We start from the raw sequence: 27,616 nt of genomic DNA on the forward strand, positions 1-27,616 counted from the left end.
TAGGGGCTACATGTGATATTTTCATATGTATACAATGTGTAATGATTAAATCTGGGTGACTGCAATATTCATCACCTCACATGTTCATCATTTCTTTGGTTGGGCATATTCCAAATCTTTTCTTCTAGCTATTTTGAAATGGACAATAAATTATTGTTAACTATAGTTGCCCTATTTTGTTTTTGAACACTAGAACTTATTTCTTCTATCTAACTGTATTTTTGTACCCATTAACCAACACTTCTTCATCCCCCCCTTCCCACTACCCTTCCCAGCTTCTAGTTACCACCATTCTAATCACTGCCTCTATGAGATCAATTTTTCTATCTCCAGACTCTTTTCTGACTTTTAACAAGTTTATGAAAAAGGGTAAGTTACTTTGAAAATATACTATTTGGCATTGACATCTTTTTTCCCACTGTGATCCGAGGAAGGGAGCCAACATTTATGACTTGGGTCTTTGAAGGGAATTACGCTGCATCATCCCAGATGACCATAGGAAGGAGAAATGTGGTCTTTTATTTGGAGGGAGTGGTGGAAAGAGTTTTACAGGAGTGGAGGAGACTGAGCATCTTCTGCCTAGAGAGGGGATGTATCTGAGTAGCAGACACTGGCCTGGGAAATGAAAGTGTGCTGCCATGTCTGTGTGCAATGAGAAGAACCACTATGCAAAGCATCTCAGTGCCTTATGGAGTAGCTGTGCCTTGGATCAACGTTTGTAGTCAAAGGACTCAGCATACAGGGGGAAACTACATCCACTGCCATGAAATAAGGACCTGTTCTCTACTTTATTCCTAAAAGTTACTCCACCCTCAAGGAATAGAGAGGCAGTACTAGAAGGGGGAAGCTCACATATTCTATAAATATTTCCATAGACACTGCTCATAAACCCACAAAACAAGCCCATTCACTCATACACACAAATTCACAATCATACGAACTCAGTAATATACACAGCGCTTCTATCATTCACTCATTTTTTTAGTGACCGCAAATGTATGCATATATGGGTGTGTGTGCATGTATGTATGTGCAAGTACATGTATGCATCTATGTGTGTGCATTAATTCGGGGGACAGGGATGCCAGGGGGCCATCTGAATGATCCATTTAGGGCTGCACATGAAAGTAATAGATTTCTTAAAGACACAAATTAATATTATTGAGTGACATAGAAAAAGGGAGGGAGAGGGAGAGAAAGAGAGATGGCCAGTAAGAGAAGCCTCCTTGATTAGGGGACAGGGTGTCTTTCATTATATGCAAAATCAAGGCCAAGGCAGATGGGTGACTGCCTACCTGCCATGTTGGAAATCTCTTCTCCACCCCAAAGTCTCCCCTTAGTAATTCTTCAGCACCCTGGATCATCTCCCACAAGTCACTCTTTGAGCTTAGGGAAAAGTGCTTATGTTTTGGCAGGGGTTGGAGGGGAGATGTTTATGTATTAACTCTCTATCCATATAGTGAGTTAGTTACAATCTTGTCCTAGAGATAAGGTTAAATCCTGTTTGCACTACTAATTATCTGAATGATTTTGGCAACCTTTTGTACCTCTCTTAGCTGCCATCTTCTCATGTATAAAATGGTTTTTGTTCTTTTTTGTTTGTTTTTGTTACTGGTGTCATTTTTACACTATAGCATGGTGAAGAGGATTAAATGAGGAGATGCAAATGAAGTAGAAGTCTCATTCAACACTATCATTGTCTTCACAAGCCATTGATCTCTTATGTAAGATGTAGTGGCAGATTGACCAGTTCTGTGACTGCAAATCACAGAAGATGAGCAATAGGATGAATATCTTTTGATATGAAAGAGGGAATGAGGAACTGCCAAGGATGAGGGGATGTTCATCAGGAAAAGCAGAGCTGAGTAGGGTCCGGAGTTGATGGTGATGGGAGGGCAAACTTTCACATGTGTGTAGGTGTGGGGATGATGGCCCTGTAATAGCAACAGTTACTTTAGTCTCTTCAAGCTTGATGGGAGGTCAGTCAAATATCGTCTGTCACCAGGACTGCCCTATTCTAAGTTCCTGCCAGAGCCCTGTGTCTTGCAACCTGAGAGCCTGAACAGACAGAGATTTGCTAGACCAATCCTATCATGGTCCAGAAGAAAGCAGTGCAGGTCAGAGAGGAAGGACATGTGTCCAAAGTCATACAGCAGGCCCGCTCTGGAGTTAGGTCTGGAACTTAGGTAATTGGATGCCAATTAGAACACATTTCAATGACTGCACTGTCTCAAATCAAATTCCAGGACCAGTCTGTGATAGAGGTCTTTATTACCCCAGCTCCCTTGTATTGTAGCTTACCTGACCTGACGCTGCCACTAGCTAACTATGGCCCTCAGGGGCACCCTGTTACTCTCTCTGTTTGTAAATTGGGTGGCTGATCTGAATGGTTTCTAAGGTCCCTTTAGCTTTGATGGTCTGTGCTTCCCCGGCTCACGTGTCGTGGAAACTGTCAGATACCCGAGTAGGAGGAGGACGCAGCATGACAGGTGGTGTCCCTGACTCTGGAGGGGGACTTGGCAGAGCTGCCTCCTCTGATGGGGATGGGGAGGGTGGGAGCTGGCAGGAGGATCCACCCACTTTGGACAAAAGCTATGATTCACCAAGTGGAGGAAGGAAGGAGGGAGGCACCTCAGCCAGTAGCATGGGACATTCCACAAAAGGTGTCTGTGATCTTCTAAGCTCTGAATCCCCAGGCCTTTACTGTGCACAAAAGGCTTGTAGCTGACTCAGGCAAACCCCAAAATTTTAATCCACAATGTTCTCACTGAGATTCAAGGAGAACATTATTTTTGTGATAAAGATATTTCAGGATGACTCAGCGAATTTTCATGACTCAGTTCTCCATGCCATAGCCAGACAAATCTTTCTAAAATAAAAATTGGGTCATGGCATTTTCTAGCTGAAAACCTTTCAGGGACTTCCTCAATCCTTGCTGTGGCCTCCAGAGTCTTGTGAGATGTGGCCTTTGCCTGCCTCTCTGGCCTCCTTCTAGCCCATACTTCCCCACTCATTGCAACAGTCCACTCACAGTCGTCCCATCCTTTTCTCAAAGAACCCAACTCATTCCCATTTCATTGCTTTTGTATGTTCTGTTCTTGCCACCAGGAATTTTGTTCTCCCCACTCTTTGACCATCTATCACTGATTTTTCTTCACTCTTTGATTATGTATCAATTTATCAGGAAAGCTCTTCTTACCCTTTCTCACTCTAAATGATGATCCTGTTTCTTATTCTGGTTCACACTATTTTAACATCATCGTTGTCCTCTTGACACTTACCTAAATTTGTAATTCTGTATTTATTTAGGCTTATTTGTTGCTCTCTCTCTCTCTCCCTCCCTATTATTGCCAAGCCTCCCAAGACCAAGAAACATGTTTATTCTTCTCATCCCTGAAATGTCAGTCCATAGCACAGTGCCTGGCAAAGTAGTGAACACTGAGGAAGATTTTTTTTGTTCGCTTTAAAAAAAAATAAATGTATAATCATTGAGTCCAAACATCAGGAATAACTGCCATAAAGCGCAGAATATGCATGGTCTTTCCCAAAGGGGCTTTGGGGAACTTGTGCATTTAAGTAAATCAGTGCTTTTGTCACCCCTCTGGGGGAAGAGTCACTTTAGAACCATGCAATGTCCAGAGTGCTACAAACAGCATCCAACTTAACGGTTTCAAATTCTCTTTTAGTCATGAGCCTGTTTCTCAGCCAAAGCTGTGTCCAAACCCCAACATATAAACCACATGAAATCAAAGGTCTCTGGCTAATGTAGGGGCTGGGGCAGAGGGGAAGGAATTTTTAGAATCTTCACTCTTCCCTAGTGGTGTACCTAGGGTGGCGCAGGAGGGTGTTTCACTTTGGGGTGTAGGCAATAGGGGGTATATTATCTGTAGAGAATTTAAAAACAATAATGCAATCGATAAACAACAAATATAAACCAATAATATTAACTAAAATTTGGTCTGTTTTTCAATAGGCAGTGCTAGACAGTATCAATGATAAAATGCTCTTCCCTGTCCCCCATCCCCTCCCAACACACATACATTATTTGTATGCTTCGGATCCTCTGGCTTTTCTCCATGAAATTCTTATCCAAAGCCCTCATTATAGAAGAAACTGACTTGGTCAGACTATAGGAGCTCCCATGTGGGGCAAGCCCAGAATGAGGGCATGCAAATGGAATTAAGTCAACCTATGTTGAGCATAAGTTCAAAGGGCTTTAGTGTTACCCTTCTGGGTACTCCCAGGACAGAAGCTTTTGTCTTTGAAAGACAGGATTGGATCGAGGTTAAGGGCAAGGACTGTGCAGCCAGCCAGCCTGGATTCAAATCTCAGCTGTGTCCTTTACTAATGTGTTGAGCTTAGGTAACTTACTTGAGCTCTTTAAGCTTAAGTCTTCATTTACAAAATGTAGAAAGGAAAGTGACCTATCTCTGAGTATTACTTTGATAATCAGAAAAGGTAATCAAGGTTAATTGTTTAGCAAGGGAGTAATCACTAGTACATGTGAACTATAGTCCTTGCTTGGGATTTACATATCTGGTATCCTCTTTATTCTGATGCCTGGTTTCTGGCTGTTGGATAAAACACACATGGTATCAGGGTATCTTTGACTCCAATATTTTAGGGGAACCTCTCTCCATGTGGAGATGCTACTTGGTAGGGGTTGACTATACAAGATATTGAGATCCACATGAATCCCAGGAATATCTGATGGAAACCCTAAAAAAAATATGAAAACTTTCATCTTTCTGCTTGGACTTGATAATCTAATGACTGAGCTCAAGGAGGAGGATTAGGACTGTTCTTGTGCTCTGGACATAGCCAGAAGTGCTATCATTAACAAAATAATAATGAAAAGTAGCTCTCTAGATTCCTTCTATCTGGTCAGGGCATCTCTGAAAGAAAGGCAGCAGGCCCAGTTAGGGGCTTATAGATAAAATTCCCATCTCCCTGGGACAAAGCACCTGGGGGAAGTGGCAGCTGTGGGTGCAGCTTCAGCAGACTCAAATTTTCCTGCCTGCTGGCTTTGAAGAGAGCAGCAGGTCTCCCAGCACAGTGCTTGAGCTCTGCTAAGGGACAGACTGCCTCCTCAAGTGGGTCTCTGAACCCTGTGCCTCCTGACTGGGAAACATTTCCCAAAAGGGGTCGACAGACACCTCATACAGGAGAGCTCCAGCTGGCATCTGGCAGGTGCCCCTCTGGGACAAAGCTTCCAGAGGAAGGAACAGGCAGAAATCTTTGCTGTTCTGCAGCCTCCACTGGTGATACCCTGGCAAACAGGGTCTGGAGTGGACCCTAGCAAACTGCAGCAGACCTGCAGCAGAGGGGCCTGACTACTAGAAGGAAAACTAGCAAACAGAAAGGAATAGCATCAGCATAAACAAAAAGAATGTTCACACAAAAACCCCATCTGAAAGTCACCAACATCAAAGACCAAAGGTAGATAAATCCATGAAGATGAGGAAAAACCAGTGCAAAAAGGCTGAAAATTCCAAAAACCAGAACTCCTCTTCTCCTCCAAAGGATCACAACTCCTCACCAACAAGGGAACAAAACTGGATGGAGAATGAATTTGATGAACTGACAGAAGTAGGCTTCAGAAGGTGGGTAATAACAAACTCCTCTGAACTAAAGGAGCATGTTCTAACCTAATGCAAGGAAGCTAGGAACCTCAAAAAAAGGTTAGAGGAATTGCTAACTAGAATAACCAGTTTAGGGAAGAACATAAATGACCTGATGGAGCTGAAAAACACAGCATGAGAACTTCATGAAGCACACACAAGTATCAATAGCCGAATCGATCAAGTGGAAGAAAGGATATCAGAGATTGAAGATCAACTTAATGAAATAAAGCATGAAGACCGTATTAGAGAGAAAAGAATGAAGAGAAAGGAACAAATCCTCCATGAAATATGGGACAATGTGGAAAGATCAAACCTATATTTGATTGGTACACCTGAAAGTGACAGGGAGAATGAAGCCAAGTTGGAAAACATTCTTCAAGATATTGTCCAGGAGAACTTTCCCAACCTAGCAAGACAGGCCAACATTCAAATTCAAGAACTGCAGAGAACACCACAAAGATAATTCTCGAGAAGAGCAACCCCAAGACACATAAGCATCAGATTCACCAAGGATGAAATGAAGGAAAAAATGTTAAAGGCAGCCAGACAGAAAGGTCAAGTTACCCACAAAGGGAAGCCCATCAGAATAATGGTGTATCTCTCTGCAGAAACCCTACAAGCCAGAAGAGAGTAGGGGCCAACATTCAACATTCTTAAAGAAAAGAATTTTCAACCCAGAATTTCACATCCAGCCAAACTAAGCTTCATTAGCAAAGGAGAAATAAAATCCTTTAAAGACAAGCAAATGCTGAGAGATTTTGTTACCACCAGGCTTGCCTTATAAAAGCTCCTGAAGGAAACACTAAATATAGAAAGGAAAAACCGGTACCAGACACTGAAAAAACATACCGAATTGCAAAGACCATCGACACTATGAAGAAACCGAATCAACTAATGGGCAAAATAAAGAGCTAGCGTCATAATGACAGGATCAAATTCACACATAACAATATTAACCTTAAATGTAAATGGGCTAAATGCCCCAATTAAAAGACAGAGACTGGCAAGTTGGATAAAAAGTCAAGACCCATCAGTGTGCTGTGTTCAGGAGACACATCTCGCATGCAAAGACACACACAGGCTCAAAATAAAGGGATGGAGGAATATTTAGCAAGCAAACAGAAAGCAAAAAAAGCAGGGGTTGCAATCCCAGTTGCTGATAAAACAGACATTAACCAACAAACATAAAAAAAAAAAAAAGAAGGGCATTATATAATAGTAAAGGGATCAATGCAACAAGAAGAGCTAACTATCCTAAATATATATGCACTTAATACAAGAGCATCCAGATTCACAAAGCAAGTCCTTAGAGACCTACAAAGAGACTTAGACTCCCACACAATAATAGTGGGAGAGTTTAACACCCCACTGTCAATATTAGATCAATGAGACAGATTATTAACAAGGATATTCAGGACTTGAACTCAGCTCTGGACCAAGTGGACCTAATAGACATCTACAGAACTCTCCACCCCAAATCAACAGAATACACATTCTTCTCAGCACCACATTGCACTTATTCTAAAATTGACCACGTAATTGGAAGTAAAACACTCCTCAGCAAATGCAAAAGAATGGAAATCATAACAGTCTCTCAGACCACAGTACAATCAAATTAGAACTCAGGATTAAGAAACTCACTCAAAATCGCACAACTACATGGAAACTGAGCAACCTGCTCCTGAATGACTACAGGGTAAATAACGAAATTAAGGGAGAAATAAATAAGCTATGTGAAACCACTGAGAACAAAGACACAATATACCAGAATCTTTGGGACACAGCTAAAGCAGTGTGTACAGGGAAATTTATAGCACCAAATGCCCACAAGGGAAAGCAGGAAAGATCTAAAATCAACACCCTAACATCACAATTAAAAGAACTAGAGAAGCAAGAGCAAACAAATTCAAAAGCTAGCAGAATACAAGAAATAACTAAGACTAAAGCTGAACTGAAGGAGATAGAGAAACTAAAATCCTTTTGAAAAATCAATGAATACAGGAGCTTGTTTTTTGAAAAAAATTAACAAAATAGATAGACTGCTAGCCAGACTAATAAAGAAGAAAAGACAGAAGAATCAAATAGACACAATAAAAACTGATGAAGGGGAGATCACCGCCTATCCCAAAGAAATAAAAACTACCATCAGAAAATACTATAAACACCTCTATACAAATAAACTAAAAAATCTAGAAGAAATGGGTAAATTCCTGGACACATACACCCTCCCAAGACTAAACCAGGAAGAAGTCAAATATCTGAATAGAACAATAAAAAGTTCTGAAGTCGAGGCAATAAATAATAGCCTACCAACCAAAAAAGGCCCAGGACCAGAAGGATTACAGCTGAATTCTACCAGAGGTACAAAGAGGAGTTGGTACCATTACTTCTGAAACTATTCCAAACAATAGAAAAAGAGGGAATCCTTCCTAACTCATTTTATGAGGCCAGCATCATCCTTATACAAAAACCTGGCAGAGACACAACAAAAAAAGAAAATTTCAGGCCAATATCCCTGATGAACATCAGTGTGAAAATCCTCAATAAAACACTGGCAAACCAAATCCAGCAGCACATCAAAAAGCTTACCCACCACGATCAAGTTGGCTTCCTCTCTGGGATGCAAGGCTGGTTCAACATACACAAGTCAATAAACGTAATCTGTCACATAAAGAGAACCAATGACAAAAACCACATGATTATCTCAATAGATGCAGAAAAGGCCTTTGATAAAATTCAACAGCCCTTCATGCTAAAAACTCTCAATAAACTAGGTATTCATGGAACATATTTCAAAATAATAAGAGCTATTTATGACAAACTACAGCCAATATCATACTGAATGGGCAAAAACTGGAAGCATTCCCTTTGAAAGCCAGCACAAGACAAGGATCCCCTTGCTCACCACTCCTATTCAACATAGTATTGGAAGTTCTGGCCAGGGCAATCAGGCAAGAGAAAGAAATAAAGCATATTGAAATAGGAAGAGAGGAAGTCAAATTGTCTCTGTTTGCAGATGACATGGCTGTATATTTAGAAAACGCCATCGTCTCAGTCCAAAATCTCCTTAAGCTGATAAGCAACTTCAGCAAAGTCTCAGGATACAAAATCAATTTGGAAAAAATCACAAGCCTTCCTATACACCAATAACAGACAAACAGAGAGCCCAATCATGAGGGAACTCCCATTCACAATTCCTACAAAGAGAATAAAATACCCAGGAATCCAGCTTACAAGGGATGTGAAGGACCTCTTCAAGGAGAACTACAAACCACTGCTCCAGGAAATAAGAGAGGACACAAACAAATGGAAAAACATTCCATGCTCAATAGGGAAAGGATTCCCTATTTAATAAATGGTGTTGGGAAAACTGGCTAGCCATATGCAGAAAACTGAAACTGGACCCCTTCCTTACATCTTATACAAAAAATAACTCAAGATGAATTAATGACTTAACGTATGACCTAAAACTGTAAAAACTCTAGAAGAAAACCTAGGTAATACCATTCAGGACATCATGATTAAAATACCAAAAGCAATAGCAACAAATGCCAAAATTGACAAATGAGATCTAATTAAACTAAAGAGCTCATCCACAGCAAAAGAAACTATCATCAGAGTGAACAGGCAACCTACAGAATGGGAGAAAATTTTTGCAATCTACCCATCTGAAAAAGGGCTAATATCCAGAATCTACAAGGAACTTAAACAAATTTGCAAGAAAAAAAACCCCCACCAAAAAGTGGGTGAAGGATATGAACACACACTTCTCAAAAGAAGACATTTATGTGGCCAAAAAACATATGAAAAAAAAGCTCATCATCACTGGTCATTAGAGAAATGCAAATCAAAACCACAATGAGTTACCATCTCACGGCAGTTAGAACGGCGATCATTAAGAAGTCAGGAAACAACAGATACTGGAGAGGATGTAGAGAAATAGGAACGCTTTTACACTGTTGGTGGAAGTGTAAATTAGTTCAACCATTGTGGAAGACAGCACGGCAATTCCTCAAGGATCTAGAACTAGAAATACCATTTGACCCAGCAATCCCATTACTGGGTATATACCCAAAGGATTATAAATCATTCTACTAGAAAGGCACATGCACACGTATGTTTATTGCGCACTAATCACAAGAGCAAAGACTTAGAACCAACCCAAATGCCCATCGGGATAGACTGGATAAAGAAAATGTGGTACATATACACTGTGGACTACTATGCACCCATAAAAAAGGATGAATTCATGTCCTTCGCAGGGACATGGATGAAGCTGGAAACCATGATCCTCAGCAAACTAACACAGGAACAGAAAACCAAACACCGCAAGTTTTCACTCATAAGTGGGAGTTGAAAAATGAGAACACATGGACACAGGGAGGGGAACATTACACACTGGGGCCTCTTGGGGGTTTGAGGGGCTAGGGGAGGGATAGCATTAGGAGAAATACCTAATGTAGGTGACGAGTTGATGGGTGCAGCAAACCAACATGTTACGTGTATACCTATGTAACAAACCTTCACTTCCTGCACATGTACCCCAGAACTTAAAGTATAATTTAAAAAAAATCCAATGAAACCCCTATTCAAATCTATGTCACTAGTTCTTGAAATGTGGTTACTGTTGGTTTGAATAAAGGCATTTTGTCCATCCCTTAAAAAAATAATAATGAAAAGTGAAAGTTTTTTTAGAGTTAGGTTTGAGATACTGGTTTTTCTTCTTCCACAATCCTGGCAGGCCTCATGGGTTCCCTTGGACAAGATTAATTTCCTCTTGTCTGTCTTACCTTAAAACTCCCAGTAAAGCCAGAGCACACTCAGCGTTTTAGAAGCAGAAACACCACATTGCACAGTACGTCTTACTGATACATTGATGAGTTATATTTTTAAAGAGAGAAAAGGAGTCATAAAACATTTACTGCATTCTACCAGGAGCCTGGTGCTGTGTAAGACACTTCTTGTAGGGCATTTCATTTAATCCCTGTAATAATCCTTCAAGATATTCCCATTTGTCTGATTGGAAAATTGATGCTCAAGAAGTAAAATAACTTGTCCAAGGCTATGCAGCTTAGAGGGAATACAGCAAGTATCAGAACCCAGGTCCAAGAGACTCTGAAGTCTTTACTGTTTCTTCTATTTTACTCTGTTGTCCTTTTCAAATTTTATTCTCAAGCATTAATTTATTTATTGTTAAAACAGCCTTGGGAGGTAGAGGACACTGTGTCCATTTTAGAGAAGGAATCAGAACTTGAAAAGGGATAACAATGGGTGTCCCTTGTCACATAACAATTTTGAGGGCACAGCTGCGTATAAGAAATGCAGTGTTTGTTAATGAAAAACCTCCCTCCACTATGCCTTGGAGGATCTCAAATCCTTTGTAACTCCCTAGCATCTTTTATTTTATTTATTTTTTTAATTACACTTTAAGTTCTAGGGTACATGTGCAGAATGTGCAGGTTTGTTACATAGGTATACACGTGCCATGGTGGTTTGCTGCACCCATCAGCCTGTCACCTACATTAGGTATTTCTCCTAATGCTATCCCTCCCTTACCCCCCACTCCCAGACAGGCCCCAGTGTGTGATATTCCCCTCCCTGTGTCCATGTGTTTTCATTGTTCAACTCCCACCCCAGCATCTTTTCTAAGGGAGGTAGAGAAAGGACAAGGGAAGGTGAATAATTTTTAGAAGGCCATACAGTAAAATATTTCTCAGTCTTGCATCTGTAGGGCTTTGGAGAACCTCCTCTAATGGGCTCTGCTTCAAGGTTTTCGGAAACAAAAGCTTTGTTCTGGATCCCTGTGGCATCAGATCTTGGGTGGAATGGAATTTTCCATTGATTGAGTGAAATTGACTTCTGAGTGACAACATCCTCCTACCTAGAACCTAAATTGAGTCCAGGATTTATGTTCTAGGCACTGCCATGAAATTCATGAGCCCTTGTCTCTGGGGACTGGACTGTCAAGCTTGGTGTGGGCAGGTGCCCATGCTGAAGCCCATCTCTTAGAGCTGAAGGGTGATTTCTGCTCTGTTAGCAGAAAGGAGCACATGGAGAAACCCACTCATCCTGCAGGTCCTAGAACATATTAGTCATGATGATGACTACTGATGACTCTAAGCAATGCAAGATATAGCACAGAACGGTAGAGGGAAGAGAGCCTCTAAGATTGAACAGGTCAGCTTCAAAATAGTTTCCAGATGAGGAAACTGAGGCCCAGAGTGCAATCGTGACTGTTGGGGCTGAGCAGTGTTCCTCTGACTTTTTTATGTGTGGGTGTGGCTGTGTTACAATAAAGCCAGCTCAGCTCCTGCTTATCACATGCACTTGCCACCTGGCCATTGCAATTATATCTATTCATTCATCAGACAAATATGTAGAAAGTGCTTACACATGCCAACACTGTCCTGGATTCAGGTATACAATAGCAAATTAAATAAGGACCCTGCTTTCCTGGAGCCTGGACTTCACAGATTCTTCTCAAGTATTACCTCCTGAGTGAAGCCTTGTCAGGTCACTCCAGACATAAATGGTCCATCTTTCAATATTTTTTTAGAGCATATAAGACCAGAAACTTAGTAATGCCTGACAAATATTTCTTGAATTATTTAATTAACTCAGCTAGTTAGTCATCCACAAACACTTCTTCAGCATTTTCTATGTGCAAGGTCCTACCTTGGGGTTTATCATATGCTGATTAGTATTACGATTCTCTGTATGCATGATTTGTCTTCTCAACTCTAACACAGACTCCTTCACAATGATACAGGCTATTTGTCACATGTGTATGTATATTGTACTTGAAGTTTACTCGGAGTTAGATATCTACTTAGTGTATGTTATTAGAAGGAGAGAGGAAGATGGCCAGCCCTGTCAACTTTTTGAAGCTCCATAATAAGAGAACATATTATCGTTACCATTTCAAAGGCAAAGAAACTATAGATTTTGTAGGTAGGTCATACTAAGAACCAGAATTAGAACCGCGGACTTCTGAATATGGGTCTGAGACCTTTATTCTCTTTGGGTAAGACATAGGATGTTAGAGTAAATTCAGGAGAAAGAGCTCTCAGAAGTTACCTGTAGAGTGAGGAATCCTAGCCACCTTCTGGGAGGGTCATGGCAATCTTCCCTTCATGCATCAATGCCCTTGGCAATCCATTCTGGAACTGAAAAACCTTAATTTCCAGGAAGTCCCTCTTTATAGCCAACTGGAATCTCTCCATCCTGCTTTGCATTGGTTCTGACCTCCAGGGAAATGGAGCTTAATGACCTTAGAGCTTTTGTCTAACATAATGCTTAAGAGCACAGACTTTGGTATCAGACTGAACATGGTTAAGTTTCTTACCTATTTAAGTTTCTGGTTTTTTCCTCTGCAAATTGTGTCAGTGACAGCACTGACTCCTAGGTTTCTGTGAAGATTAAATATTATCTGCACAGGTTTCCTACTCCAGGACTAAGCCCATGGAAGTCCTCAACAAATGTTAGTTCCTGTGGCTGTTTGCTTACATGAAGATAATCAGTCACTCAGCAAACCTTTCCTGAGGGTTTGTCCTATGCCAGGCATTGCATAGTGCTGGAGATTTGAGAAAAACTAAGATCAAAATCCGTGTTCCCCAAAACTTGATGCTGTCACTGGAACCTGACATGTTCACAAGTTTTATTCATTGAGGCAAATTAAACACAGCATAAATGGAATGCTGGTGTTGAAGCACACAGGGAAGAGAGCTTAATTGTAAAGGCAGATTTGAAGGGGGTGTGGCATTAGAGCTTCATTCTGAAGAAAGAACAATGAAGAAGAGGAAGAAGGTTGAGGGAATGGGATGGGCAATGCTGAAGAAGAGCCGAGCATTTTCAAGGAACACCATGTTGTCTGATGCAGCTAGAGCATAAGAAGGATAGATAGGTATAACAGAGAGTAGAACTGGAAAATGTAGGCTCACATCTGCTGCTAGGATGTTTCACTATCATGGAGAGTAACCTGAACTTAGTTTTTTGAATGTCAGGCAGCCATTGTGAAGTTTTGAGAATGGATATGACATGATCTGACCCGAAATTGGATGGAGATTTCAAAGTCAGATGCACAAGGACGATTGGAAAGAAAAGACCCTGGCAGCAGGAAGGGCAGTGAAAAGCTCTGCAGTGGTCTAGACAGTAGGTATTACTCAATTTATTCCAGGGAATGCCCATAATTCCTTACCTTGGCCAACAATGGCTTGAATAATTTAGCCTCTGACTACCTTCTCGCCTCCTTTCCTGCTGCTCTATTCCCTTACTCACTATCCTCTAAACAGACTGGCCTCTGCTCTGATCCTATTAGGTTGGTGCAAAAGTAATTGCAGTTTTTGCCATTAAAATTAATGGCAATTAATGGCAATTTTGTGGACGGAGAGCATATCAACCTACCAGGGACCTGGCATACTACTGGCAAAAACCACAATTACTTTTGCACCAACCTAATAGAATGCCCCCAGTGTACCTAAATCTTGGGATCTTTGCACTCGCTTTTCTCTCTGCCTGCGATATTCCTCTCCTAGTCACCCATATGGTTCAGTTCCTTATAACACTCTTATCTTACCTAGCGGTCACTAACCTGTCTAAAATACCCCCCAGTCATTTTTAAGCCTCTCATCCTGGTTTATTTCTATTCGCAAAAATTATGCTACCTGTCACTATGGCATATCCTTACTTGTTTATATTTTTGTTATCTGTCTTTTTGAGGGTGGGGAACTTATCATCTTCATTCATGCCTATATCCTTAGTGCCTACCCATTAATTATAGGGACTTGGTAAGTATTTGTTTAATGAATGATTGAATGAATAATCTTCATTTACCCCTAAATCACAGCAGTGTCTCACTAGCTAAGGCATTTCTGTGGTGGGACAAAAACAGAAAATGGCTATTCTCCTAGGGGATCTTACAAAATGACCTGTAAAATGTGTGCACAAAGGTGAGCTCAGAGAGTTCACAGCACAAGGGAGGTGTCCCAGTGTGGTGAAAATAAACACTTGCAGCCATAGCTTCTTGGGGCCAAAGGGAAGGTTGAGGATAATATTTTGTGGACTGAGAGCATATCAACCTACTGGGGACCTAGCATACTACTGGCAAATATTAGCTATTCATAAACATTTGATGCATTACTAAATGAACGGCACATTTTGTTGAGTTATTTCTAACGTTTTCATGCCTATTTTAAGAGGCAAGATAGAAAACAGGGAAAAATACTGTACCAGAGGCCAAAGCAGAGCTGGGAGCAATGAGAGGAGGAGTGAGGCAAACTCACGCTTTTATTTATGAAGGCTCATGTAGACCATTTTCCTCTCGCAATGAGTAGTGCTCATATTATGTGGTGTTACACATGCTGGAGCAACAATACCTTGTATTTATGGAGTGGCTGTCTCTGAGGGGCTCAGACCATTTTATAGACATGATCTCATTCATGCTGTCTCAGGTCTTCTATTGAATTACAGAATGGTTCATTGTTCCAAACGATGCAAACTATTTCTTTTAGATGCACTCTTAGAATTATCCATTCTCCTGTTACAGGTTCAAAGATTTACAAATCATCGCCAAATGGCTCCAGAATTGCTACCGCAGGAAAGGAGGTGGGTGGAAATGGAAATGTTCTGAATTTATAATTTATGAACTCTTCAAATATTAGGAAGTCACTTTTTGTACACCCATCTTAAAAACAAGGGAAAACATATGCTATGACTTTGTTGCAGCCATATAATATGATAATAAAGGTAGAAAAAAAGAATATTAATTTTTATAACATTAGCTAAAGCTATAAAAATAAGAGTTAACCAGTGTGGCTAAGAGGCAGGATAATCATAACCATAATAAGCATAAAAGCAGAAGGTAATGTGGACATATTCCCGAGCTAAGGTCACAAGAAGCAGGATCTTCATTTGCTCTGCTATGAAAAACTCTGTGACCTTAAACAAACGCTTAACTTCTCTGTGCCTTGATTGCCTTATCTGACAATGAGAATCGTTGGATTAGGTGCTCTCCAAGTTCCATTAAGGAGATTTCATGAGTCTGTGTGGTTCTGTTACCACCACCACAATCACCAGCACCCACATTATTGCTGTCTAATGCTTAACCTGGAACATAATGGATACCCAAAGTATTTACTGCATAGCAGATGAATTTGTCCAGTGTCCATTAGTTTGCAAACTGAATTTGACTTAATAAACATTTGTTGAGTGTCTACTATGTCCTAGGCACAGAGGTGATGATGGGATATAGAAAAATATAAAAAACATAATGATCAAAATGTATGAAAAGCATGAAAGAAGTCAAAATGCTTGGCTCTGTATCAATAGGGGCTTCCTGGAAGAGATGACATGATCTCAGTTCAAATGGATAATTAATAAAGTTCACCAGATGGACTAGGAAAGGAAAGAAGAAAGAGAAAGCCATTATAGTCAGAGCGAAGAGCATGTCAAAAGACACATAAGTATGAAAGAGATAGAGGAAATGTGAATAAATGTGAGGATGGATCAGTAAGAAGCTAGACTGGGAAAATAGACATGAATCACATGATTAAGATCAAAACCTGGCTTTGGGTCTCAGGTTTCATCTTGCAGGCTATAGTTGCAGAGTTGATAGTATCAGATGCTCATGCTTGATTTTCAAAAGGAACAATGTAAGTTACTTTACCATATTCTTCACTTCAAGGAAAGTATGAATTGCATGTTATTTTTGTTTCGCAAATGGAGAACTTGAGGTTCAGGCAAGATAAGGAACCTGTGCAGAACCAAATAGTTCTTATGCACTTCTAACAAACTCTTTAAATAGAAATCCACCAAAATCTGCTATCTTCTACCTATGTTATTTAACTTATTTTTTCTCTTTACACAGACCCCTTGTTCCAGCTGATAAGTCACTTACCTATTCCTTGAGCACACAGTGACATATTCCTTTCCTGCTCTGGCATCTATGCTGTTCTTTTGATCTAGGGTGTGCTGCTCCTCTCCTCATCCAGTTCAAATCCTACACATGCTTCAACTCAAGCTCCACCTGCACTAGGAAACCTTCCCTGGCCCTTTCAGAAGGACTACTCAATGGTGTATTCAACAATCTCAAGTGGTACACAGCTTCCATGTACTTTGCCTCATGCTAGGCAGTGGTCATACTATGGCAAGCAAAAGACAATTCTTACTCTCACATATCTTCAGGCTAGTTCGAGAAGTGCTATGGTCTGAATGTCTGTGTTCTCCCAAAATTTATATGTTCGAATTAAATCCCCAATGCAATACTATTAAGAGGTGGGCCTTTCAAAGGTGATTAGGTCATAGGGGTTCTGCTCCCATGAATGGTATTAGTGCTTTCATAAAAAAGGTCTGAGGGACCCCTTTCACCATATGAAGACATAGCCAGAAGGTGCCAGTGATGAGGACGAGTGAGCCCTCAACAATCACCAAATTTGCTGGTGCTTTGGTCTTCAATTTTCCAGCCTCTGGAACCATGAGCAATAATTTTTTATTATTTATAAACTACCCAGTCTAAGGTATTTTGTTATAGTAGCCCAAATGAACTAAGACAAGAAGATAGAGAGCAATCAATAGTCATGTGTTAGCCGAGTACCATGGCTCACACCTATAATCCCAGTAGCTCAGGAGGCTGAGGCAGGAGGATCACTTGAGGCCAGGAATTCAAGACCAGCCTGAGCAACATAGCAAGGCTTCATCTGTATTTTTTTTTATTAGCCAGATGTTTGTGGTATGCACCTGTAGCCCCAGCTACTCAGGAGGATGAGGGGGAAGGATCACTTGAATTCAGGAGTTTGAGGCTGCAGAGAGCTATGATTGCACCACTGCATTCCAGCCTAGGCAACAGAGCAAGACCTTGGCTCAAAAAACTAAGTCATGTGTTTACAAATATGGGAACTGTTTTGAAGGAGAAGTTCAAGGTGGCAAGAGTGTATAAGGAGAAAAGCATCCCAATGGCTCAGGTAAGGCTGCTGCTATGTGGAAATGATGTCCAAGACGGGATATGAAGGGTTAGAGAGTGGGTAGGGTTTAACTAAGTGGAGACAGAGAGAGAGAAAGGGTAAAAGAGTGGCTTAGGTGGAGGAAATACCCTGCCTAAAGCTCTCAGTGGAAAAGAGCAGGATATTCTGAGGTTCTGTTCAACCATCAGGACACACAGGAGCAAGCAACCAGAAACTGACTCTGGTTAAGTTTAAGCCACACAGAAAACTATTGGAAAGACTGGTAAGTTCCCAGCATCACTAGAAAGGCCTAGCAAACAAAATGGGTGCTCACAACCAAAACCCTTCAAGCCACATAAGCCGTCTGGTGAGGATACTGATGGCTCCATTGTTTTAACTTTGAACTCTGTAGCCAGCACCATTGGCACCCTCAGCACAGGGCTTGTGGGGCCACCTCCAGCTTCTGTGTTACTAGTGCCCTGGAAAATAGGCAAATGTCACTGCCACCATCATACTGGATTTTTTTTTTTTCCCGTTTTTTTCCTGTCAGCCCTGGTCAGATATATATATCTATATATATCTATATATATCTATATATATAGATAGATAGATAGATAGATAGATAGATAGATAGATAGATATATATAGATATATATATAGATATAGATATATATATATAGATATATATATATATTTTTTTTTTTTCTGAGATGGAGTCTCCCTCGGTCACCCAGGCTGGAGTGCAGTGGCGCAATCTTGGCTCACTGCACCTTCCACCTCCTTGGTTCAAGCAATTCCCCTGCCACCTGAGTAGCTGGGATTACAGGCGCCCGCCACCACACCCAGCTAATTTTTGTATTTTTACTACAGACAGGGTTTCGCCATGTTGGCCAGGCTGGTCTCAAGCTCCTGACCTCGGGTGATCCACCCGCCTTGGCTTCCTAAAGTGCTGGGATTACAGGCGTGAGCCACTGTGCCTGGCCCTGGTCAGACACTTCTAATTGGCCAACCATTCCCTCATTCTTTGGATACCTGGGAAAGTTTATATATTTTTTAATTATTATTTTTAGTTTCTATAGTGCGAAGTGGACTGTTTTCCATCAAGATTTGTAAGGTGGAAAACTCCCCAGACATAGAAAGAGGATTCAGATGCGGGCACACGGCAACACTGCTGGAGGATGAGAGTGCCCATAAAATTCTCTAATTGTTTTAGTTGTGTTCATCTCATCCGCCTCACTGACTTGTGATCTCCTTTGGGGAAGTGTTCGTGCTTTCTTCCTCCCTCGTAAGCTCAGCCATTACTGATGGTCCTGGCCACACACTCCCTGCTCAATAAATTCTTGTTGACTTCCATCTAGTTCATTCTGCAAAGGTCATTTCATTTGGCCTTCGCTGGGAGGTGATTTTCAAATGTGAAATATGAATAACTTGGCCCTGGAGTCAGTAACATCTGCAGATAATCATGTCATCTGGCCATGCAGAACCTCTGGGCATGGGGAAGTTTTCTGGTATGTGAGGAGATACGAAATGGAAACTGCTACCTGATGTAGCCTCATCACTTCTCAGGGGCTGATTCCCTCTAGGGCAGTAGAGGAGCTTGTGTCTTGAAAATACATTTGGGCATTCCACTATTAGGTAGTGGTTACTTATGTGGAAAAGTTCCTTACACAGTCAGGTGCAATGCCTTGCAGCGAGTAGTTTCTTCTCTCATTTTCTTTTACAATGTTCTGGTGGAAGGAGTGCTGGCTTAGAAACCAGAATATCTGAATCCAAGACCTGGTTCTGGGATAATAAGACATGAGACCTCCGTCCAGTCCCATTATCTTTCAGATCCTCATATTCTCTATCAATAAAGTGAGCAGGATGATTTATTAGGTGCAAGCTGTGGTAGGCATCTGTTGTTTCCATTTTCTCAACCTTTCTCTTTTTCTGGAAATCGTTCATGTGTCTTCTTCTAGAATAATTATTCTCAAACTTAAGCATATATCAGAATCACATAGAAGCCTTGTTAAAACAGATTCCTGTATCCTCTTCCCAGAGTTTCTGATTTTGTAGATTTGGGATAGGTCTTGAGAATTTGTATTTCTAGCTATTTCCCAGGGGATGTTGACATTACTGGTCTGGGGACCACACTTTGAGAACTACTGCACTAGAAATCCACTTTTTCTTATTCTCAGCCCATGAGGTTTAGAGGCTAATTTCAGCCCTTGGCTTCAAGAGTGAGAGCATGGCTGGGTGTGGTGGCTCACACCTGTAATCCCAGCACTTTGGGAGGCCGAGGCGGGTGGATCACTTGAGATCAGGAATTGGAGACCAGCCTGGCCAACATGGTGAAACCCCATCTCTACTAAAAATACAAAATTTGCCAGACATGGTGGTGGCACCTGTAATCTCAGCTACTCTAGGGGCTGAGGCAGGAGAATCGCTTGAATCCGGAAGGTGGAGGTTGCAGTGAGCCGAGATTGCACCACTGCACTCCAGCCTGGGTGATGGTGACAGAGCAAAACTCTGTCTCAAAAACAAACAAACATCGACCTAAAACCATAAAAACCCTAAAAGAAAATCTAGGCAATACCATTCAGGACATAGGCATGGGCAAGGACTTCATGTCTAAAACGCCAAAAGCAATGGCAACAAAAGCCAAAATTGACAAATGGGATCTCATTAAACTAAAGAACTTCTGCACTGCAAAAGAAACTACCATCAGAGTGAACAGGCAACCTACAGAATGGGAGAAAATTTTTGCTACCTACTCATCTGACAAAGGGCTAATATCCAGAATCTACAAAGAACTCAAACAAATTTACAGGAAAAAAACAAACAACCCCATCAAGAAGTGGGCGAACAATATGAACAGACACTTCTTAAAAGAAGACATTTATGCAGCCAACAGACACATGAAAAAATGCTCATCATCACTGGCCATCAGAGAAATGCAAATCAAAACCACAGTGAGATATCATCTCACACCAGTTACAATGGCGATCATTAAAAAGTCAGGAAACAAACAGGTGCTGGAGTGGATGTGGAGAAATAGGAACACTTTTAAACTATTGGTGGGACTGTAAACTAGTTCAACCATTGTGGAAGACAGTGTGGTGATTCCTCGGGGATCTAGAACTAGAAATACCATTTGACCCAGCCATCCCATTACTGGGTATATACCCAAAGAATTATAAATCATGCTGCTATAAAGACACATGCACATGTATGTTTATTGCAGCACTACTCACAATAGCCAAGACTTGGAACGGAACCAACCCAAATGTCCAACAATGATTGACTGGATTAAGAAAATGTGGCACATATACACCAGAGAATACTGTGCAGCCATAAAAAATGATGAGTTCATGTCCTTTGTAGGGACATGGATGAAGCTGGAAACCATCATTCTCAGCAAACTATCGCAAGGACAAAAAACCAAACACCACATGTTCTCACTCATAGGTGGGAATTGAACACTGAGAACACTTGGACACAGGAAGGGGAACATCACACACTGGGGCTTGTTGTGGGGTAGGGGGAGAGGGGAGGGATAGCGTTATAAGATATACCTAATGTAAATGACGAGTTAATGGGTGCAGCACACCAACATGGCACACGTATACGTATGTAACAAACCTGCACGTTGTGCACATGTACCCTAGAAGTTATTTTATATATATACATATATATGTGTATATATATGTATATATATGTATATATGTATATATATGTATATATATGTGTGTATATGTATGTATATATATGTATATATATGTATATATATGTGTGTATATATATATATGTATATATATATATAAACAAACAAAAATAAAAGACTGAGAACACGAACCAGAACCAGCTAATTAGTTTATTTCAACCACCTCTCGTCACCTTGTCATAGAAGATTACGGGGGAGGGCAGGAGACTCATATCAGACCAATTCACTACAATGCTTTAGCAGAAACAACTTCCTGCTTGGGTTGCTTGAAGCCACTGAGGGCCATCCTGCATCTACTGATGACTATACTGACAGAAGAAATCAGAGCTGAGACATGCAAGGCAGAGATTCCTGAAACTCGACTTGATCTCCTGCAGTCATCTTGAAGCATGCTCTATGGGATCACATGTGCTCTTTTTTGCTTGAGCTACTGGGGTTTCTGTCACTTGCAACCAGATAATCCTAAATAATATGTACACTTTTCAAAAACAGAGTCTGAATTTAGTCTTTTTGTAAAAAAAAAAAAAAAAAAAAAAAAAAAAAAAAAAAAAAAAAAAAAAAAACTTCTAAGAAGTTATACTCTGAGGCAATGAGCAGATAGAAAAAATTTGAAATAGAAATACAGTTCTTTCACTTGGACCCAGGAAGGGGAACATCACACACCGGGGCCTGTAGTGGGGTGGGAGTCGGGGAGGGATAGCATTAGGAGATATACCTAATGTAAATGATGAGTTAATGGGTGCAGCACACCAACGTGGCACATGTATACATATGTAACAAACCTGCACGTTGTGCGCATGTACCCTAGAACTTAAAGTATAATTAAAAAAAAAAAAAAGAAAGAAATACAGTTCTTTTAAGAACTAGCTGGTCAGACAACTTGAGAACAGCATACCAAGAATAACCATGATAATTAGAGAAAGAATAGTAGGTAACTTTTACTGAGTATTTAATGAATACCAGAATCTCTAATTAATTACTCATATTAATTATCTAATTTAATCTACATAATGCCCTTTGGAGTCAAATACTATCATAATCTCAGCTAACAGATGAGGATAATGACCCTCACAGATTTTAAGAAACTTGCCCATGGTTACTCAGTGAGTAACAGACCATGAAAGGAGAGAGAGAGAGAGAGACAGACAGACAGACAGAGAGGAAGTCAATCCAAAAGGTCTGACTTCAGAAGCCATATTCTGTCATCCTTGTGAGATCAGAAGTCTTGATCTTTCATTTTAATTCAGAGACCACACCATCTTGAGGATGTGAGGATGATGCCTGGTTTAAACTAAGGAGCAAATATAAAAGTGGTGGGGCTCCTTTGAAAAAAAAAGATTAAGACACAATTTTTCCTGGTCTCAGAGGATTGTAAAAGCCTCCAGTTGACTCCAAACTGGTAGAATAGTGCCAGAGTAGTGCCAGTAGAGCTGTTAAGGGTCTGAAAGCAACTTCCACTGTCTCTATGACAGACCATCTCTGCCTACCTTAAACTCTGTGCAGTGCCAGCTTTAGGGACCTCTGACAAGGGCACCCAATGTCAGCATGCCTGGATCCTTGCCTGCCCTGACCTCAAAAAACCCTTAAACTGCCCACTCATTGCAGTCCTTTTGTTACATTGAGAGCAGCCCCAATGAATGCCTACCCAACAAATCTAATCAGTATCCCTGGTAAGCCTACCTTCAAGAGCCTATGCCCCAAACAGAATTTTGTAGGTACTTCAAAGACATACCCAATGAATATTTTATTGGTTACCAATTTTCCCATCTCAAGAATATAGACTTCGATGGGTTGATTATATAGAAATTGATTTGTTTTTATTTTTATAGCTTTTATATCTTTTTAGTGTGTTCTGTGGCTTCTCATCATCACCTCAACTGCTCTACTCTTCAATTTTTGTTCATTTGTATTTGCTCCAAGGTACAACAGCATGTTAGTTTTCCCTTGTGTATGCATTGTAGGTAGTGGGGTTCAATCTGATATTGTCTGATCAATTCTTTTTTATTGGCTGATAGAAGAACCCTTTCACTAACTTCCTAACTTGAATTTTTACCTCCATTCTTACCCCGCACACCTATATTATGTTTCACCCAGCTGCACTATCTTTCTGAAACAAAGATTCCTTTTACGCATTAGCTAAAAACCTGTCATCTACTCAATTTCTTGAATGTGACATATAAATGTCCTTGAAAACTCTTCCTAAATGGCTCTTCCAGCTTTGCTTCCTTGAAGTCACACCCTAACTGCACATTCAGCCTCAACTACCCCATCCCTGGCCCATCCTGGGCAGACCACTGCTCTCTGGATTCAGTCTCTGCACCTCTGCTAAGGATTGTTTCCTTAGACCATCATAACCATCCTCCTGAAGTTTTTCTCATCCAAATATCACCCATCCTTCAAGTTCTGGCCAAAAATTTTCTTCCTCCATGACACGTCCTCAGATCCCCTTGGCTGGAGACAATATCCGCCTCCTCTGGACTTCCACAGCATTTTTATTGCTCCTATCTTACAGCTCCTAGTCCTGTCTCTATTATAGCTATTTACAGATAGAAATCTTATCTCCCCCACTAGTCTATAAAGCCTTTGAGTGTACAATCCCTTTGTCATTCATCAATGTATTCCACACTGGACCTGGCTTAGTACCTTGTACATATTGGAAATTCACATATCTAATAAATAACTAAACTGAGGAGTTCTGGGATGGGATCCTACCCCAAAATGTCCCTCTCATTAGTTTGTCATATTGACGGAACTCTTAAAGTGTAAGAACAGTTACCCTGGGCCGGCACCACGTGCCCATAGTGGGAGTATTTCATCAGATCACATTTATCAAATATCTCCAGTGATGTGGTCAGTGACCAGGTGCTCCTGAAACAATCAGGGACCCAGACTGAAGCAGCCTCACATAAGCAAGATTTCATTTTAAATATAGTGATTTATCTTTTTAAAATCCATGTGCATTTTGAATTCTCTTTCATAAGATATAAATATTTAGTTTAATTTAAATATTTTATCCCAATGGTTAAATAAAATTGAACCTCACTCATCTGCACCAGACACATCCAGTGGCACTGAGTACCTGCTGGCTCCCCAGTATAGTGGATGTTACTCCTGACTGCAAGACACAGTGTTAAAGGATCTTTGTCATTAATATATTTGTGTGAATTAATGATTCAGCTCTTTTCTAGCTGAGGGCAATGGGAAGACAATATGAGGCATGGGAGAATTAATAGGGGCCAAATAGCATTGTGTTTTCTTATGGGACAGAGTAAAACAGGTCTAGGGGAGACAAGCAGAGAAAATGCCCTTGGCATTCAAGACTAGCCATGGTGCCCTGAGATTGAAGGTGAGGAAAAGAGTCAGATCTGGTCGACAGTTATTCACGGGAGGGTCCAGCTTTGCCTGCTTCTCTCCCCATTGAAGTTGGAGGCACAATATAGAGAGGTCATCAATTCACTTTGCTATTGGAAGCTGAGCTAGCTTATCCAGAGCCTAGGGGCTGTCAGCACAAGATTGTTAATGAACATGTTTCCTGTAGATAATTATAGGAAAGGGAATATTGAAAGCACTTAAAACATTTCATTCTTTTTAATTCATTAATTATATTGCAATTATCCCATGCTCAGGAGCTGTTCAGGAGGCTGGATTCCAGCTATTCCTGCAAGCTTCCATGGGCAGGAATGAGGGCTGAGGGCTTGGGGAGAGAGAGCCTGAAGAGAAAAGCTCAGAAAAGGTTAACTGTGCAGATACAAGAAGCTAATTGGAAACCTCGTAAACAAAATCCAGGTTAATGAGAGTTGAAAAGAACAACACATCTCTTTTATAATGATTATTACAATTATCATTATTTCCCCACCCACATCAAAATTGCTTGCATTTTGATAGGTTCACCATGAGCAACACGTCATCTCTGAAAACACCTGGCCTTGAAGTTGAATCAGAGGATTAGATTCAAGATGTGGCAAATCTTATGGATGACTGTGGAATGATGGGGGCACAAGTCTAAATACTGCATCCTGCTCTGTCATATCCTAGATCTGCTATTGTTTTTCTCTTCACTTCTTATGTTATTCATAGAGAGTTGTAAGTAAGTAAATTGACATACCAGACCCCTACTGTGTGCCAGGAGTACAAGAATGGCAGTGGTACAGATGAGGTCTCTGCCCTCATAGAACTTTCAATGAAAAACATGGTCCACTGAATAGGGAATCAAGATACAGGTGATGGGGAAAGTACAAGGAGCAGAGGAGTTCCTAGGGTGGTCAGGAGGGAGGATAGGTAACGTTCTCTGTGTGCTCTCTTCTGTACACATACATCACATTAGTAGCAATACCCCAAATCTCAATACTTTCAGACTTCATATTCTGGCTTTTGGGAATATCAAGCGCTTTCTTCCCCAGTGATTCTATCTAGGAAATACTGATGGTGAGAGTGGGGAGGTGGGAAAGTTGCCCTCACATATAAGTGAAGATATAGCCTGAACACTTTTTTAATTGGTTCACTAATTTTCCACCCTCTCTTCCTGTTCCTCTGCTATTCATTGGTTCCTTCTTGTTCCAGTGGCCAATACCACTGCTAATTTCTTCCAAACTGCTAACCTCCATGCCACCCATTGATAATATGACCTCTGAATGCAAGGCATAGCATGAAATGATCTGAGTCATTAATATATTTGTGTGAATTAATGACTCAGCTCTTTTCTAGCTGAGAGGAAAGACAATATGAGGCAAGGGGGACTTAAAGGGGCCAACGAGTATTTTGTTTCCATGTAGGACAGAGGAAGACAGGCAGATAAAGTATCCTTGGTATCTGAAACTAACCAGGTTGCCCTGAGCCTGAAAGTATATTTCTCACTGTCTCTATCATAGGACCTACCTCATGTTCCCCTGATGGAAGATGACAGACAATGTGAACCAGAGATGTGTCCAGTCATTTGTCTAGGCAAGGCCTGAAATGTGTTAGAAAGTCCAGCCAATATCAGCAAAAACACAGCTGGCTCAAGCTGACCACAGTCACATGATAGAACCCATCTGAGACCAAAGAAACCACTCAGCTAAGCCTAGTTTAAGTTGCTAACCTGCAGAATCATGAGCTAAATAAACAGCCATTGTTGAGGCCATTATGTGTTGGGGTGGTTTGTTATGCAGCAATAGCTAACTGATACAACACTTAACTATATTATAGATCAGTTCTATTTGAGCAAATCACTTTGAATATCTACTATGTTCCTAGTTACTGGAGGCATAATAATAAGACACAGTCCCTGTTTAGGGAAACTTACAAGCCAATACCTCTTAACGGTAACTAAGCAATTAAAAAAACACATGAGATTTTAACCTTTAATTTATGCAACACTACAGTGTCTACATTTAAGTCTCAGGCTGGTCTCTTGAGTCCCTGAAAAATGTATTAAAATTTTGCATGTATGTGCCTATGTATATTTTTTGAAGAGAAAGCCCTTGGTTTATACATCATGTTCTCAAAAAGAATAAGTGCCCCAGAAGATGTTGAGAACCACTGTATGATAATGTTATCTAAACCTGTTCACACTGCCCAACACTCACATAGCAGTCCAATCTATTAAGGGGTGCATTTCCTTGCTGACTCATCCTATCAGGAAGATGTCCTCAAAATGACATGCTGCCAGAGGCCACTGAGGTTTATATGTTGGATGATCAGAGCACTATAAAAAGCTTACAACAGATAATGTTATCATTTTTTGTCTTATAGAGCAGAACCTTTGTATGATCCAAAGCACATTTTCTTTGAAAAATGATGAGCTTATCTGTGTCCTTCTTTTGCTCAGACCTACCCTAGGTTCGGTAAATCTTTTTCCCAGGGCAAGAATACACATCCATCGTTCCCCAAAGCCTCCCGCTTCTGGTAACAAATGCCTGTCACTAGCCAACAATGTTGAATATCTACACCACATCTTCTTGTTCAAGGATTTCATCGAGATCTATTTGAGATTAAGGATCATACTAAACTTTGATATAACAGCTGATGTCTGGGGAGACAGTCCAATTGGCAGAAGAATCCTCCCTTTCTCTAAATTATTGAGGTTTTCTGCATTTTTATGTTAGATAAACAGAAAGAGAGGAATAGAGGGAACGACAGAAAGTACCCTGGATATCTAGAACCATTTCTTATTCCCAGTTCTTACACAATCTTGCAAATTTGATCAAAACAACTCTCTCTCTCTCTCAGCTAGAGAGTTGCCACTCTAACTCACATCCTGCTGTCATCACAAAGGTGGTTCTGTGCAGCTTAAGCAAAAAAATATGTGTGAAAGTGCTTTAAAAATTTTAAAGTGCCAGCAAACTTAAGGTTGGTCTCTTCTATATTGGGTTTCT

At 40.7% G+C, this 27,616-nt stretch overlaps 1 long non-coding RNA gene across 2 annotated transcripts in view; it reads right to left on the reverse strand.

The window, feature by feature from the left end:
* The window catches only part of LOC105376250 (uncharacterized), a 100,071-nt gene extending 73,745 nt beyond the window's left edge, over positions 1-26,326 (reverse strand). For both annotated transcript variants that reach the window (XR_930305.2, XR_930304.2), the window contains exon 1: positions 26,139-26,326. This is a non-coding gene — a long non-coding RNA (uncharacterized LOC105376250). The remainder of the gene's footprint in view (positions 1-26,138) is intronic.
* Between the last annotated feature and the right edge of the window lie 1,290 nt (positions 26,327-27,616).

Source organism: Homo sapiens, chromosome 9 (genome assembly GCF_000001405.40).
Source record: "Homo sapiens chromosome 9, GRCh38.p14 Primary Assembly".
Lineage (NCBI taxonomy): Eukaryota > Metazoa > Chordata > Mammalia > Primates > Hominidae > Homo > Homo sapiens.